At 42.2% G+C, this 17,665-nt stretch overlaps 1 protein-coding gene across 6 annotated transcripts in view, besides 2 other annotated features; it reads left to right on the forward strand.

Moving 5' to 3' along the window:
• The window catches only part of TPX2 (TPX2 microtubule nucleation factor), a 62,511-nt gene that overhangs the window by 32,135 nt on the left and 12,711 nt on the right, over nucleotides 1-17,665 (forward strand). For all 6 annotated transcript variants that reach the window (NM_012112.5, XM_011528700.4, XM_011528699.3 and 3 more), the window contains 6 exons: nucleotides 136-258; nucleotides 4,443-4,564; nucleotides 6,063-6,214; nucleotides 7,389-7,560; nucleotides 10,825-10,966; nucleotides 12,281-12,497. In NM_012112.5, the coding sequence (NP_036244.2) occupies nucleotides 136-258; nucleotides 4,443-4,564; nucleotides 6,063-6,214; nucleotides 7,389-7,560; nucleotides 10,825-10,966; nucleotides 12,281-12,497 (928 nt within the window). The remainder of the gene's footprint in view (nucleotides 1-135; nucleotides 259-4,442; nucleotides 4,565-6,062; nucleotides 6,215-7,388; nucleotides 7,561-10,824; nucleotides 10,967-12,280; nucleotides 12,498-17,665) is intronic.
• Nucleotides 14,196-14,695: an enhancer, noted in NCBI's record as "H3K27ac hESC enhancer chr20:30373423-30373922 (GRCh37/hg19 assembly coordinates)". NCBI's record gives its function as "activates a minimal SCP1, AML or CMV promoter by ChIP-STARR-seq in naive H9 embryonic stem cells {active_cell/tissue: H9 hESC(naive)}" and the evidence as "EXISTENCE:reporter gene assay evidence [ECO:0000049][PMID:30033119]".
• Nucleotides 16,832-17,331: an enhancer, noted in NCBI's record as "H3K27ac hESC enhancer chr20:30376059-30376558 (GRCh37/hg19 assembly coordinates)". NCBI's record gives its function as "activates a minimal SCP1, AML or CMV promoter by ChIP-STARR-seq in primed H9 embryonic stem cells {active_cell/tissue: H9 hESC(primed)}" and the evidence as "EXISTENCE:reporter gene assay evidence [ECO:0000049][PMID:30033119]".

The following is a 17,665-nucleotide window of genomic DNA, read 5'->3' on the forward strand; positions in this document are numbered from 1 at the left end:
GAATCATGTGGTCGAAGCATGCTTGTTATCCTATAGAATGAGAAAATTTAATCCATATGCAGTAGATTTGGGGAGGAGGGTACAGGCTATGCTTCAGGGAATTGAAAACATATTTTTTGTCCTTTTGAACTCAAGTTCTAACAACAAAAAGAAGCCAGAGGAAGAAGGCAGTGCTCATCAAGATACTGCTGAAAAGAATGCATCTTCCCCAGAGAAAGCCAAGGGTAGACATACTGTGCCTTGTATGCCACCTGCAAAGTAAGTTTCTTTCCTGAATTTAAACTTTAGAATGAATGGTATAAAATTACAGATTTACATCTACAACCTGTTTGGTGTACCTGGAGGTTGGCAAACTCCTGAAGCTTTGACCATGGTGAGGTGAATTGTTACATGTGTCCTGATGGGTGCTCAGATTTTTAAATTTTTATTTAATTAATTAATTTTAAAGACAGGGCCTCATTCTGTTGCCTAGGTTGGTGTGCAGTGATGCAATCATGGCTCACTGCATCCTTGACCTCCTGGGCTTACGTGATCCTCCCACCTCAGCCTCCCAAGTAGCTGGGACTATAGGCATGCACTATCATGCCTGGCTAACTTTTTTTTTTTTTTTTTTTGAGACAGAGGCTCACTCTGTTTCCCAGGCTGGAGTGCAGTGGCATGATCTTGGCTTACTGCAACCTCTGCCTCCCGAGTTCAAACAATTCTCCTGCCTCAGCCTCCCGAGTAGCCCGGATTACAGGTGTGCACCACCACACCCGGCTAATTTTTGTATTTTTAGTAGAGATGGGGTTTCACCATGTTGGCCAGGCTGGTCTCGAATTCCTGACTTTAAGTTATCTGCCCACCTTGGCCTCCCACAGTGCTGGGATTACAGGTGTGAGCCACTGTGCCCAGCCTACCTGGCTAACTTTTACATGTTTTTGTAGAGATGGGATTTCACTATGTTGCCCAGGCTCTCAAACTCCTGGCCTCAAGCAGTCCTCTTGCCTTGGTCTCCCAAAGTGCTGGGATTACAGATTTGAGCCACAGTGCTGGCTGGTGCTCAGATCTTGAACAGTCAGAAAAATATACTGTTGAAGCAAATTTAAAAGAAATATAAAAGGAAAAAGTTAGCAACAGTTCTTACCACGTAGATTGAACATTTTTTATTTTTCCAACCTCCCTGCTGGATTTTACCCAAGCCAGCATACATATTTTCACAATCAGTTAATACAAAACCTTGGGTTCTGCTTTATTGACTTGCCATGAGATTATTTCAGATTTTGTTTCTGTGCTGCTACAAAATTTTCACATTTATCCTTTTTTGATAGATTGTTAATATTCTATCAAAATATATTTAACTATTTTCTGTTGAAAATGTAGTTTCCAGCTTTTCATGATTATAAGTACTCAGTCAACAACTTTATAGGCAGAACCATTTCTTTGAGTGATCTTCTCAGAATAAGGAAGGAGAAATTCCCCACAGGGTATGACCAGTTTTGTCAGTGTTGATATTTATTGCCAATTTTACTTCTGAAATGGAAGTACCAATTTATAGTGCCATCGGCTTTTTTTTTTTTTTTTTTTTTTTGAGATGGAGTCTCACCCTGTCACCCAGGTTGGAGTACAGTGGCGCAATCTTGGCTCACTGCAACCTCCGCCTCCTGGGTTCAAGTGATTCTCCTACCTCAGCCTCCTGAGTAGCTGGGATTATAGGCATGCATCACCACACCCGGCTAATTTTTTTTTTTTTTTTTTTTTTTTGTGAGACGGAGTCTCGCTCTGTTGCCCAGGCTGGAATGCAGTGGCACGATTTCGGCTCACTGCAACCTCTGCCTCCCACGTTCAAGCAATTCTTCTGCCTCAGTCTCCCATGTGGCTGGGATTACAGGCACCTGCCACCACACCTGGCTCATTTTTTATTTTTAGTAGAGATGGAGTTTCACCATGTTGGCCAGGCTGGTCTTGAATTCCTGACCTCAAGGGATCTGTCTGCCTCAGCCTCCCAAAGTGCTGGGATTACAGGTGTGAGCCACCATGCCTGGCCCCGGCTAATTTTTGTATTTTTAGTAGAGATGGGGTTTCATGATGTTAGCCAGGCTGGTCTCGAACTCCTGACCTCAAGTGATCTGCCCGCCTCAGCCTCTCAAAGTGCTGGGTATAGGTGTGAGCCACCATGCCTGGCCTGAAGTGCCATTGGCTTTGAATGAATATTTTTATTTTCTTATTATCTCATCTGCATTGTTTATTAACTTATAAAATTGTTTCTTTTTTTAAATTCATATAGATGGCATGAAATTATTATTTTAAAAATTTAATTGTAAATTGATAATTTATAGTTGTATATATTTATACAGTACAAAGTGATGTTATGATTCATGACTACAATTTGGAATAATTAAATCTAGCTAATTAACATATCTGTCACCTCAAATACTTACCACTTTTTGTAGTGAGAACATTTGGATTTTTTTTTTTTTTTATCGAGATGGAGTTTCTCTCTTGTTGTTCAGGCTGGAGTGCAGTGGTGAGATCTCAGCTTACTGCAACCTCCGCTTCCCGTGTTCAAGTGATTCTCCTCCCTCAGCCTCCCGAGTAGCTGGGATTACTGGCACTTGCCACTATACCCAGCTAATTTTTGTATGTTTAGTAGAGATGGGGTTTTACCACGTTGGCCAGGCTGGTCTCAAACTCCTGACAGGTGATCCACCTGCCTCAGCCTCCCAAAGTGCTGGGATTACAGGCATGAGCCACCGCGCCTGGCTGGAATTTATTCTCTTAGTGTATTACGATTACTAATGATATCCTCCACCCTGTGCAGTAGAGCAAAAGAAAAATCTTTTTCCTCTTGTCTGAGATTTGTTGTACTCTTTAATCGTCATCTCCCCATTTCCCCCAACCCCCAGCATCAAATTATTTTAATTTTTATGTATTTGCTGACAAGATTGTATTACTGCTACTATTGTAAACATTTTTCCATATTTCCTCTTGGGTGAATTATCTGTTTCCTTTTTATTTTTTTTCTTATTGGTAACCTTATTTGCCTATAAGTGTCCTTGGTGATATTTTCCTTACTAAGAATGGATACTCTGTGTTGAACATTACCATGTGTCAAGCACTTCAGAGACATCATCTGATTGAACAGTCATAAATAGGATGTGAACATGAGTATTTACACTCCCATTTCACAGTGGGGAAAACTGAGGCTCAGGGAAGTTAAATAGTTTTCTCAAGATCATTATAGGCAGCAAATGAAATGACAGGGTTGGGATTTAGTCGGCTTTACTTCTGAGTTTCTTCCTTCTGTTACATGTGTTTTATGTGTATTAACCCTAGGTTGTAGATACTTTCCTCATTCTACTGGTCTTTTTTTGTTTTTGTTTTTGAGACAGGGCCTTGCTGTGTTGCCTAGGCTGGTCTTGAACTCTTGGGCTCAAGCAATATTTTTGCCTCAGCCTTCCAAGTAGCTGGGATTACAAGGGCATGCCATTGCACTAGGCTTCTACTGGTCTTTTAGTTTTTCTTGTGGCTTACAACCTAATCTTTTTTGTTGTTGTTGCTGTTGTTGTTTTTGGAGATGGAGTCTCACTCTGTTGCCCAGGCTGGAGTACAGTGGCGTGATCTTAGCTCACTGCAACCTCCACCTCCCGGGTTCTAGCGATTCTCCTGCCTCAGCCTCCCGAGTAGCTAGGATTACAGGTGCCTGCCACTACATCTGGCTAATTTTTGTATTTTTAGTAAGATGGGGTTTCACCATGTTGGCCAGGTTGGTCTCGAACTCCTGACCTCAGGTCATCCACCCGCCTCGGCCTCCCAAAGTGCTGGGTTACAGGCATGAGCCACTGCACCCAGTCCAATCTCATCGTTTATGATCATATTTATGGATATTTTGTAATATATTTTAATCTATTTTAGTTATTTTCTTCTGAAATTTTTTCAGTATTTTGGTATAAAGTGTGCATTTTCTTGTCTTTATTTATTTATTTTTTTTGAGATGGAGTCTCGCTCTGTGGCCAGGCTGGAGTGCAGTGGCGTGATCTTGGCTCCCTGCAACCTCCCCCTCCCAGGTTCAAGCAATTCTCTTGCCTCAGCCTCCCCAGTAGCTAGAATTACAGGTGTGTGCCATCACACCTGCCTAATTTTTGTATTTGTAGTAGAGACAGGATTTTACCATGTTGGCCAGGATGGTCTTGAACTCCTGACCTCAGGTGATCTGCCCACCTTGGCCTCCCAAAGTGCTGGGATTATAGACATGAGCCACCATGCCTGGCCAAAGTGTGCATTTTTATTTATTTTCATGGTGTTATCTAATTAAGTTAGCATCTATTTATTAGATGATATTTTTTGGTTTTGATGATTATCTTATCACAGGTTAAAAATATTATATAATGCCTGTAGATTCTTTTGAGTCACTGGGTGCCTTTCTCCTCTCCTCTCTTCTCATTTACTGATTTTCTCTTTAGGCAGAAGTTTCTAAAAAGTACTGAGGAGCAAGAGCTGGAGAAGAGTATGAAAATGCAGCAAGAGGTGGTGGAGATGCGGAAAAAGAATGAAGAATTCAAGAAACTTGCTCTGGCTGGAATAGGTGAGCTTGGCTGTGGTTGAGTCTGATTCATGAGGGGTGGTTCTTAACACTCTTGGTAGGTGTTTTTTTTTTTTTTTTTTTTTTTTTTTTTTTTTTTTTTTTTGAGACGGAGTCTCGCTCTGTCGCCCAGGCCGGACTGCGGACTGCAGTGGCGCAATCTCGGCTCACTGCAAGCTCCGCTTCCCAGGTTCACGCCATTCTCCTGCCTCAGCCTCCCGAGTAGCTGGGACTACAGGCGCCCGCCACCGCGCCCGGCTAATTTTTTGTATTTTTAGTAGAGACGGGGTTTCACCTTGTTAGCCAGGATGGTCTCCATCTCCTGACCTCATGATCCACCCGCCTCGGCCTCCCAAAGTGCTGGGATTACAGGCGTGAGCCACCGCACCCGGCCAGTAGGTGTTTTTGAAGTCTCTGAAGTAAATAAAAAGGCTTTCTCATTTAGTAGTCAGCATAAAAAAGATGTGTTTATTCCTTAGCACTTTCTACATATATTGGTATTTTACATATATTGGTACTTAAATATATCGGTACTTTCTTTCTTTTTTTTTTTTTCTGAGACAGAGTTTTGCTCTTGTTGCCCAGGCTGGAGTGCAGTGGCGTGATCTCCGCTCAACACAACCTCTGCCTCCCGGGTTCAAGCAATTCTCCTGTTTCAGCCTCCTGAGTAGCTGGGATTACAGGGGTCCACCACCACGTCTGGCTAGTTCTTTGTAGTTTTAGTAGAGATGGGATTTCATCATGTTGGCCAGGCTGGTCTCGAGCTCCTGGCGTCAGGTGATCCGCCCACCTCAGCCTCCCAGAGTGCTGGGATTACAGGCATGAGCCACCGTGCCTGGCTCACTGGTACTTTCTTAAAAGTCTGTTCTTGGTCTTAGGGAAAAAAAGGAACTTGGATTGAGACAGAAGATAAAGTAATTGGGCAGACCAGTTTGTTGTTTTCCTATTTTTTTCTAAAGGCAAAGGAAAAGAAAACAGTCAAATCCAATTCACCTGTGGAGGAAAAATATGACTGAGAGAGCTGAAGGGGTCACAGTTCTGCTTTGCTCGGGCATAGAGTTGTTATTGGTGGAGTCATAACTATAAAGTTCTCCTTACTGGATTGAAAAAGCACCCCTGGAGTTTATAGGATTTTCCTCTTAGAGATGCTGAGTTAACTGTGCTTTCAAAGTCAATCCATAGCTTTTCTTATCAAAAGTATTCCAGTTATTCTTTTTCTCCATAGCTATGACCACACCTAGGAGATGGGATTCTTCTACCCTGTGCTACTACTTTTTTTTAGTTTGCATCTGACTGAAAGGCCTCAAACCTAATAGTACTCAGTGAATATGACACATATATTAGTGTCCCTGAGGACTACTTCAAGTTTTGGGTTACAGGTAGATAGTAAGCAAAGTTAGATCCATGGTGACAGAAATAGCAAAAGGACTGGAGTAAAGGGGATTTACTGGTGTTCCCTATCTTAATGTTGTCTGTATGTTTTACTGTGTTCATCTCTCAGGGCAACCTGTGAAGAAATCAGTGAGCCAGGTCACCAAATCAGTTGACTTCCACTTCCGCACAGATGAGCGAATCAAACAACATCCTAAGAACCAGGAGGAATATAAGGAAGTGAACTTTACATCTGAACTACGAAAGCATCCTTCATCTCCTGTAAGTTGATGGACTAAATGAACATTTCTGTTACTAATATTCATTTAGGATTTTACGTGTAGCATTTGTGGTCACTGTTTATAATAGTATAATTGAGAAAAAAAACCTTGTGTCTATAAAGTTGTGTAAAATATAACAGATCTTTTTTTTTTTTTGAGATGGAGTTTCACTTTTGTCGCCCAGGCTGGAGTGCAATGGCACGATTTCGGCTCACTGTAACCTCCGCCTCCCGGGTTCAAGTAATTCTCCTGCCTCAGCCTCCCAAGTAGCTGAGATTACAGGCGCCTGCCACCACTCCCAGCTAATTTTTGTATTTTGTAGAGACAGGGTATCCCCATGTTAGCCAGGCTGGTCTCAAACTCCTGACCTCAGGCGATCCACCTGCCTCAGCCTCCCAAAGTGCTGGGATTACAAGTGTGAGCCATCATGCCTGGCCAATATAACAGATCTTATAGGAAAAATAGGGTTGGGGCAGACCAGTCAAATCTCATGCAGTTTTGTTACCAGAGCACCAACAAAATCAGTAATAATCGTTAAGTAAAAATGCTAGTACTAATAATCTCCACTTGCATTTGTAGTCAGTATCATCATTTTTTGAAATTAGTTATTTGCATTCTTAAACCCTGAGGTTATGCTTCTTTCTTTGAGATACAGGTCCTTGAAGGGTTTTGCTTCCAATTAGAGACCAGTTTTATCAAAATTACTGGTCCAAGGAATAGGAATAGGCTTCTTCATCAGTCTCTTTAGGGGATGTATGGAGAGATTCCACTGATTCAGGAAGCTGCCTGACCTGATGCATACCCAGAGGCCCAATCAATTTTTTTTTTTAAAGTGGAGTTGAGGGTGAGATTTCTTTGCAGTGCTTTTTGTCTTCAATTCTAAGATAGCTTACTCTGGATTCCTTCAAAACATTGACATGGTTGGGGGGAAATTACCTATGTACTATTCCAGAACATAAGATTTGTTAAGTGCTAGATCCTTTCTTCCATTTTTAATTTTTTTTAATGAGAACAGATTAGTTATAACCCTTGCTCAAGGACTGACAAACTTCAGAATAATAATCTTGGTTTTACACAGGCCTTTTTTATTGATCCTCTGTGCCGAATATGTGGCTTATGGTAGATGTGAGCTCTTCCGTGACATTTCATTTGGGGAACAACTTTTCTCTTTACAGGCCCGAGTGACTAAGGGATGTACCATTGTTAAGCCTTTCAACCTGTCCCAAGGAAAGAAAAGAACATTTGATGAAACAGTTTCTACATATGTGCCCCTTGCACAGCAAGTTGAAGACTTCCATAAACGAACCCCTAACAGATATCATTTGAGGAGCAAGAAGGATGATATTAGTAAGTTTCCTACCAGTATCACAGTTGGATGGAACCTCTCCTACATTCCCTCTGCTTACATCTTAGGCACAGATTTGTCTTTAGCTGAAATCCTAGTTTTTCAATTAAAGTATGGCGTGTGACTATGCAGACAACAAATGTATCCTTCAGAATTTTTCAAACCACCCAGCTGTCTGTCTTATACCCATCAACCGTCTTGATCCTCCTCATCAATAATTGGCCAAGGGGAATGAGTTAAGGTAACCTGAGATGTCATTACACATCCTTAACGGACATTTTTTTGCCATGTGTCAAAGTGTCACATTGCATTTAGTTACCTATAGAAAATGAAGGCATTTCATTCATTCAAGGCTATGTGCTTTTTATTCAGTGGTCCACCAAAATTTTTACTACTACTAACCAGGCACACTGTGTTAGGTATATAGAGGTAAATAAAATAGACTTGGTGCTACTCAACATCAGGTTTCTAATTCAAGTTTCAAAACTCGACATCAAGTTTCAAAAGCCTTTACCATAATTTGTAGTGACCTATTTATCTCTGTCATTAGAGATACACTAATTAGTTCTTTGCATTCTTAAACTGTCATTAGATAAACAGGTCACTACAAATTATGGCAGGGGATTTTGAGGAGGAGGGAGGTGCAAGAGTCAAAGGAGGTGGGAGATAGGGAGAGCATGTCTGAATGTTGAGAAGTCTCGTCAGAGATAAAGAAGCTGAAGGTACGAGAGAGAGGAGATAACTAATGGATTAAGTCCCTGAGCAGGCAGGTATTGGAGGGATACTTAGCACAGGTGGAGTGAGTGTTCTTTAAAAGGAGGATGGAAGAGTGGGAGGAATGGGTGCAAATACTGGGGGAGTTTGTAGATTTGGTGGTGAGCAGATGAGCGGATTCTAATGTAATAGTTTCTATCTTTATGGAAATAATTTCTGCAAGAAGGAAGATGAAATCTGAAGGGTGGAGGTGGTATTAAATAGTTGTTGGGAGTATAGGGATAGTATTCTGGATAAAGCAGAATGTGGTTGTTTTACCTTTGAGGATCTCTAAATTTTTTATATCCTTGCATAGGCATTTTTTTTGAGACAGAGTCTCGTTCTGGGTGTCATCACCCAGGCTGGAGTGCAGTGGCGCGATCTCGACTCACTGCAACGTCCACCTCTTGGGTGCAAGAGATTCTCGTGCCTCAGCTTCCCGAGTAGCTGGGATTACAGGTGTGTGCCACCATGCCCAGCTACTTTTTGGATTTTAAGTAGAGACCAAGTTTTGCTCTGTTGGCCAGGCTGGTCTTGAACTCCTGGCCTCAAGTGATCCGCCCGCCTCAACCTCCCAAAGTGCTGTGATTACAGGTGTGAGCCACTGCGCCTGGCCAAGTACAGCATTTTTTAATATTATTATTATGTTCTAGTGGCCAAAATGATTTTGTTAGATTTTATAGTATGAAAATAATGAAATATTCTTCTTTATTCTAATGGAAATTTAAATATTAAGCATAACTTTTCAAATAATATATGACTCAGAGTCTGATATGTCCTGCTTTCAGAATACTAGTCCTGGCAAAAGGAAAGAGAAATTATATTATGCAATTTTTATTTAAAACTTTGTACAGTTACAGCTAAATAATGGTTACATGTATCTTTGAAACATGGCTTATTTCTAAAATAGATTTGGTTTTGATCTACCACTGTTATGTGACAAGACCTAAATTGAAAGATTCATTCTATATTAGTTATGAAAATTGACAAGGTTTCACTGGCCAGGTAAATTAATATTTTCAATGAGTGGTGGTGATGTCTTAATATTGATGCTTTAACATAGTTTTTAACTTTCTCCATTTGATTTTCTGTAAGATGTGGTCTTGATGCTTTTATATTGATTTCATAAAATTGGGAGTTTTCACTTGGTCTTCTTTTGTTATTTATTTATTTATTTATTTTCCTTCTTGTTTTGCTTTTTAGAGACAGGGTCTTGCTCCGTCACCCAGGCTGGAGTGCAGTGGCGTGATCATGGCTCACTTCAGTGTCCAACTCCTGGGCTCAAGCAATCCTCCTGCCTTAGCCTTCCAAGTAATTGGGACTATATATAGGTGCATGCCACCATGCTTACCTAATTTTTATATTTTCTTAGGAGACAGGGTCTCATTATGTTGCCCAGGCTGGTCTTGAGCTCCTGGCCTCAAGCAGTTCTCCTGCTTTGGCCTTCTAAATTGCTAGAATTACAGGTTTGAGCCATTCTGTTCAGGCTTTACTTGGTCTTTAGGAAGGCCTTATATCTTTTTTTTTTTTTTTTTTTTTGAGACAGAGTCTCGCTCTGTCGCCTAGGCCAGAGTGCAGTGGCGCTCATTTGGCTCACTTGGCTCACTGCATGCTCCGCCTTCCAGGTTCATGCCATTCTCCTGCCTCAGCCTCCCGAGTAGCTGAGACTACAGGCGCCTGCCACCACGCCCGGTTAATTTTTTGTATTTTTAATAGAGACGGGATTTCACCGTGTTAGCCAGGATGGTCTCGATCTCCTGACCTCGTGATCCCCCTGCCTCGGCCTCCCAAAGTGCTGGGATTACAGGCGTGAGCCACTGTGACCGGCCAGGAAGGCCTTATATCTTAAAGCTGGAATAAGCAAAAATTTTTTGTGTTAATAACAAGCAAAATAATTGGCATTGTCAATAGAAAGTATAGGCCTGGCCAGGCACAGTGGCTTAACGCCTATAATCCCAGCACTTTGGGAGGCTGAGGTGGGTGGATTGCTTGAGCCCAGTAGTTCAAGACCAGCCTGGGCAACATAGTGAAACCCTGTCTCTACAAAGAATATAAAAATTAGCTGGGCATGGTGGTGCATGCCTGTAATCCCAGCTGCTTGGGAGGCTGAGGTGGGAAGATCACCTGAGTCCAGGGAGGTTGGATTTGTAGTGAGCCTTTATGCCCCTGCACTCTAGCCTGGGCAACAGAGTGAGACCCTGTCTCAAAAAAAAGAAAGTCAGTCTAGGCCCGTGCAGTGATAAGGAACCTGTCAGACATGGATGGATTTTCAGTTCAGAAGATGACAGTAGAGTTTACCCAAAGGCTACCTTAGTCATACCCCTCAATAAAAGAGGAATAGGGGAGAAGTAACTGAATGTTGGTTGGTTTGACCAATGTAAGCTGAGCTGACTGTTGTGGGCCCACCACTCTGTGGTTGGTTTATCCCTCTCTGGGCTACATAGGTGAATCACCACTTACAAGTAAACTGGGTCTTGCGGATCTAGATGAACATCTGTCATCTCTGTTTACAGACCTGTTACCCTCCAAATCTTCTGTGACCAAGATTTGCAGAGACCCACAGACTCCTGTACTGCAAACCAAACACCGTGCACGGGCTGTGACCTGCAAAAGTACAGCAGAGCTGGAGGCTGAGGAGCTCGAGAAATTGCAACAGTAAGTCCCACTGGCAGTATCTGAGGAAGAGTTCCACGAACCTGCCTACTTTATTTTCAGTTCTGTTAGGGTGACAGTTGCTATTTTTCTTTCCGTAAAAATTTATGGCATTTGAGTAGTAGGCTCTGCAGGCTACGCCCCTGCCTATATGATTTAAGGACTATAGTGGGAATATGGAGATGTTCTGGAGTATAAACTGGTAAAAATTGAATCCAGGCTGGGTGTGGTGGTTCACACCTGTAATCCCAGTACCTTGGGAGGCCGAGGCAAGAGGATCACTTGAGTCCAGGAGTTTGAGACCAGCCTGGGCAACATGGTGAAACCCCATCTCTACAACAAATACCAAAAAAAAATTAGCTGGGCATGGTGGCATGCGTCTGTAGTCCCACCTACTAGGGGGCAGCCTGAACCCAGGAGGTCAATGCTTCAGTGAGCCAAGATCACGCCAATATACTCCAGCTTGGGTGACAAAGCGAGACTGTCTTGCACATACACACATACACACACACACACACACACACACACACACACACACACACACAAAATCTAATCCAGAGGTTGCAGTAGAAGAACTTACTTAGGATTTCAATTAAGGAATGCCCTCTAAGGTTAAGTTAGGTAGATCCCACCCTTTTGTGACTCCCCAAGGGATTGTTACAGCTATTATTAGTGGAGGGAAATGGAAACTTAGTGTGATTCGTAGCATTGGAGTTTATTTCCTGTATCCTTCTTCCATTCCTTTTTGTGCTTCTTTTGAGGAGGGGGAGCTTCTTCTGTGAAGTGAAGCCTCAATTCTTAAGTGGTAGGGATGTTAGGACTGTCTGATTTATTCTTTCTTCTTTTATTCTTTTATTATTTTTTATTTATTTATTTTTTTTGAGATGGAGTTTCGCTCTTGTTGCTCAGGCTGGAGTGCAGTGGTGCCTCTAAGCTCACTGCAACCTCCGCCTCCTGGGTTCAAGAGATTCTCCTGCCTCAGCCTCCCTAGTAGCTGGGATTACAGGTGTGCACCACCACGCCCAGCTAATTTTTGTATTTTTAGTAGAGATGGGGTTTCACTGTGTTGGCCAGGCTGGTCTTGAACTCCTGACCTCAAATTATCTGCTCACCTTGGCTTCCCAAAGTGCTGGGATTACGGGCATGAGCCACCGTGCCTGGCCCATTGTTTTTCGTTTTTATTTATTTTATTCTGTTGTCCAGTCAATGGGAGCATAATCTTAATGATTACTATTCTTTGTGGTTGGCTTACTTTGTTTGTGAAGTTTTCATTTTATTAAAATTTTTTTTGTGGTTATTTAAATTTTCACCTTACAGATACAAATTCAAAGCACGTGAACTTGATCCCAGAATACTTGAAGGTGGGCCCATCTTGCCCAAGAAACCACCTGTGAAACCACCCACCGAGCCTATTGGCTTTGATTTGGAAATTGAGAAAAGAATCCAGGAGCGAGAATCAAAGAAGAAAACAGAGGATGAACACTTTGAATTTCATTCCAGACCTTGCCCTACTAAGATTTTGGAAGATGTTGTGGTAAGGTTGAGGCTATGTGTGCTGGCAGAAGTGTACTGCTCATGACCAGATATCCACCCATTCACACAAAAGTTTGGGTAGATATTATGAGCAGGGCATCATATTAGGAACTGCAGGTGATAAAGAGACTTATCGGAAGTGGATTTTGCTTTTAGTTAACTCAAAGTCTGGTATGGGAGACAATATATGTGTGAATAATAGAAAATGGACAGAAGTGTTCTGAGAGAGATGACAGTTAAAATAGGAATTCAGAGGAGAAAATGGTTTCTTCCAGATAGAAAGTTCAGGGTGTGCTTTGTAGAGAGGCACATTTGACCTGAGCCTTGACGATGTACTGTAGTAATAGTTATTGTGTTGCTATTGTTGTCATAATAGCTGACAATTTTACTGTGTGCCAGGACTGCTCTAAGCCCTTTTCATATATTAGCCCATTAGTTTTGACAACAACCCCTTTAGGTGGGTTATTTTATCACCTGTTTCAGATGAGGTAACCGAGGCACACAGAGGTTATGTAGTATTCCTAGAGCACTCAGCTAGTACATGGTGGAGCAAGTAAGAGTTCAGACACTCTAGCTACAGAGTCTGTGATCCTAATACCTCATTATATGCCTCTCCATTACATGATAGAATTTTGACTTGCAGAAATGCAAATGGACTGGATTGGCAGAACATTCCAGGCAGTAGGAATTACATGATAAAAAGCCTGACGGTGGGAAACAAGAAGCTTCTACTGGGAGCTGTTAGTGGGTCAGTTAAGCTGGAGAAAAGTTTATCAAGAGCCACTGGAAACTGTTTCAGAGAAGTGAGTTGTAGTTTGATAATAGGCTCACAACCACAAGTTTAGAGAAAATGTGCAATCAGGAAGCAAGGCTACAGTCAGAGAATAAGCAATGGAGTTAAGCACCTGCATAAATGCGAAAGCGGCTTTTAGTTACATTTCAGTGCAGATGAGGACCTCACCCGCCGCCACTGGTTTGGATTGCCTGGATTGATGCAGGTCCGGGATAACTCTAGAAGCACTCTGTTTTCCTATCTTCTTTCTTTTTGCTTGCTTTAGAGTCACCATGCTTTTAGGGGAAACTGCACCAATGTATTACCTTTGACTGAGTACCTAGTTTTGTTTATTGTATTTTCTTAGCACTAAATCAGAAGCAACTTGAAGTTATATTTTCCAGGCTTTACAAAAATCATGATTATGCTTAGAAATGGTTCTCCTCCCTGATACCTACTTTTGATTGAGAGCTTTTTGCGTGACTTCTGTTCACGATGCTTTTTTTTCCCTGCCATGATGCATATGTACTATATGCCAAGCTCTGTTACAATAAACTGTTAAGAAATCTTCCCCCACCCAAGTGATTAATCTCCAAGGGCTGTGCCTTCTTTGTCTTTACCCATTGAGGAAACAGTGTTGTGAATACAACAAGGGAAAAGTAGGTTATATGCAAACCTCAGAGTTGTAGAGCCAGAAGGGCTCAACGTTTAGTTTTACATACAAGATAATGGAGCCCCAGATAAGAGAAATTATTTCTTCAGGGTTTCTATAACACTCTTTTGGCACCTTGCTTTTGGTTTTTTGTTTTGTTTTTTTTTTTTGAGTTGGAGTTTAGCTCTTGTTGCCCAGGCTGGAGTGCAATGGCGTGATCTCGGCTCATGGCAACCTCCGCCTCCCGGGTTTAAGCGATTCTCCCACCTTAGCCTCCCGAGTAGTTGGGATTACAGGCGCATGCCACCACGCCTGGCTAATTTTCGTATTTATAGTAGAGACGGGGTTTCGCCTTGTTAGCCCGGCTGGTCTCGAACTCCTGACCTCAGGTGATCCACCCGCCTTGGCCTCCCAGAGTGCTGGGATTACAGGCGTGAGCCACCGTGCCTGGCTGGCACCTTGCTTTTAATAACATATTTTCCTCCAAGCTTTTCCCCCTACCTAAGTTTTTGTTTTTATTTATGTACCACTCTCTCAATTTGTCCTATATCCTTGTACCTTACATACCAATATTATTATTTTAAAAATCAACTCACTTTGTAACCTAACGTAAATTTAAAGGGAACTTTTAAATAAATATGTAAATGGAAAACCAGTACCTTTTGCCACAAATAACACAGCAATAATAGCTAATACTTATATAATGCTTATTACATGCCAGGTCTTTATTCTAAGCTTTTTACATTTATATAATAATGCACTTAATTCTCACAACAACCCTATGAGGTAAGCACTGTAGGTACTTAATCCATTTTACAGTTAGGAAACATAGAGGTTAAATAACTTGCCCAAAATCACAAACTAGTGAGCGGCAGAGCTAGCATACGAATCTTAGGTGATATGATTCCAGGGTCCATGCTGTTATATAAAAATAGAGGTTACCTTTTAAAATAGAAGGTTCTTAGGAAGTATGTGCTTATTTAAAAAAAAAAAAAACAACAGTCTACACCTCACCTAAGATCCTTTCTCATAGCATCAGTCACACCTGAACTACTGTTTTTTTTTTTTTTTGAGACAATCTCACTCTGTTGCCCAGGCTAGAGTGCAGAAATGTAGTGGTGTAATCTCAGCTCACTGCAACCTCTGCTTCCCAGGTTCAACCAATTCTCATGCCTCAGCCTCCTGAGTAGCTGGGAATACAGGCACACACCACCATGCCCAGCTAAGTTTTGTATTTTTAGTAATGACTGGGTTTCGCCATGTTGCCCAGGCTGGTCTTGAGCTCGTGGTCTCAAGCAATCCACCTGCCTTGGCCTCCCAAAGTGCTAGGATAGTAGGCGTGAGCCACTGCACCCAGCTGAACTACATTTTTGAAAACACTGATTAGGAAATTGGTTTGTCAGTTGTGTGTACTCTAGAAATGCTAGGGTGAAGTAGTAAGTAGGGAAGGGTGACCAGAGTTCATTAGGAGTTAGTTGAGATCTTAGAGTAGTTGGGTACCAGGTTATACCTGTGAAAATTCTGTGTAAACAGATCTGCAAAGCACTAGGTAAGGTGTGACCGAATTGATACGATTTGCGGAATGGAAGTGTTTGCCAAATCCAGCTGGTTCTCAGAATCCTCTGGGGCTCTTATTACATAAACAGATTTGTTGGGTACATCACAGAGGGAGCCCAGATAAAGCACTGAGTATGGTGCCTGACACGCAGTAAGCAGGGGTATTATTAATAGTAATTGTCATTTTATTGAGTGCTTACATTGTCCTGAGTACTTTATGTAGATTGTCTTATTTATGTCTGATTACACTTCTAAGAGGTGGAGTCTATACTTATCCCTATTTTTCAGACAAGGGAATAAACACTGAGAGGTATCTAGTATGCAGAACCAGAATCTGAGCCCATCATCTCCTTAAACACTGTATTATTGTACCCTACAATGCTTACTGTTATCATATTTATTTTGGCAAATGAGGTTTCTGAGTTTGACACTGGCTGTTTGCAGGTTTCCCTACTAAAATTTCCAGTGATTTGACTTCAACTCTTGGTTTCTAGAGAAGCATAGCATAGGAAGAGATGTTAGATGTGTTTTCTTCTACCCGCTTCACTTTTCAGAAAGGGAGGTTTTGAAAGGGGTGCAAACCAAAAAGTATGAGACAGGTCTCAATCAATTTAGAAGTTTATTTTGCTAAGGTTAAGGATGCATGCCTGGGAGACAGGTCTGTACCTTTCTCCAAAGATGATTTTGAGGGCTTCATATTTTAAGGGGAAAGGGTGGATAGTGGGGAAAGGGGAAGAGATTTTGAAAAGGTATGGGTAGGTAAGAGGCAAATGGTTGCATTCTTTGTTCACATGTGAGAGGGGGTAGAGGAATAGTTACTTATGCATTCATCTAGTTCAGTGAATCTGCATTTTTACATAAGATAATTAGGGCAGAGGAAGCAATCAGATACGCATTTCTCAGGTGAGCCAAGGGATGACTTTGAGTTCTGTCCTTTGTCCTGTACCTGTGAAGATAAGCTATCAATTTATATTGTCAGGGTGAAATTCAACAGAACTGTTTTAGGGTGAAGAACTTGGGGCCCCCAAGGAATTTTCAAGTGGGCAAATTGTGAGGGAGGTATGTACCTTTTTCATCTTTGAATGGGAGGCAGGTTTGCATGTTGAAGTTCCTAGCTTGACTTTTCTCCTTGGCTTACTGATTTTGGGGGTCCCAAGATTTATTTTCCTTTCACAGGGGATTATAGCTTGCCTATGGAAACATTTAAAAGAAACATTTATAAGAGAGTAAGTCGGCCAGGCGCGGTGGCTCACGCCTGTAATCCCAACACTTTGGGAAGCCAAGGTGGGCTGATCACCTGAGGTCAGGAGTTGGAGACCAGCCTGCCCAACATGGTGAAACCCTGTCTCTACTAAATACAAAAAAAATTAGCCGGGCGTGGTGGCAGGCACCTGTACTCCTAGCTACTCAGGAGGCTGAGGCAGGAGAATTGCATGAACCCAGGAGGTGGAGGTTGCAGTGAGCTGAGATTGCACCACTGCACTCCATCCTGGGCAACAGAGCGAGACTCTGTCTCAAAAAAAAAAAAAAAAAAAAAAGTCTTTGAACTTCTAGTGTTGGACTTTTACAGCAGAATTTAAGAGCCCACCTTCCAGAGCCTGATGCAGCTTGTCTGTCTGATGCTTTTGTTCCCCATCCACGTCCCCCCCAGTGCTGAAGCTGTTTCGTGTGTCCTTACAGTGTTTCCTCTGCACTTCCACTTGTGGTTGATAAGTGGCAGGGGGACAATAAATAGAGTTGATGAAAGATGGGCTTGGGCAGCAGTGGGCCCAAGTGAGGCAGAAATGAGAAAAGGACTCCTGGGGCAGAGGTGGAGTGACAAAGCCTTGAGCACGAGGGTGTGAAATGTGAACTTGGTGCTGACCTCTATTGGGCAGCCGGGGCACCACGGAGGTGGATGTGGTGTCAGTGAGACCAGTGAGTAATTTTAGCAGAGATACTTTAGGGATGACTTGGGGAGGGCAGCAGGCTTTTTTAAAATATATATACTTCCCAAAATAACATTGCTTCAGAGTAGTTTCCTAACTGCCCTGGGACAGGCCTGAGATCCTGTCCCAGGGTACTTGGGGGGCACATCCTGTCTTAGGGAGAGGTATTCACCTCCCCATTCCCATCCCCAGTCCTGGCTGCTTTTCCTAAATGCATCATTTATCCACCCACATTGCCCCATTCTAACCACATATCACCT

Source organism: Homo sapiens, chromosome 20 (genome assembly GCF_000001405.40).
Source record: "Homo sapiens chromosome 20, GRCh38.p14 Primary Assembly".
Classification (NCBI taxonomy): Eukaryota; Metazoa; Chordata; class Mammalia; order Primates; family Hominidae; genus Homo; species Homo sapiens.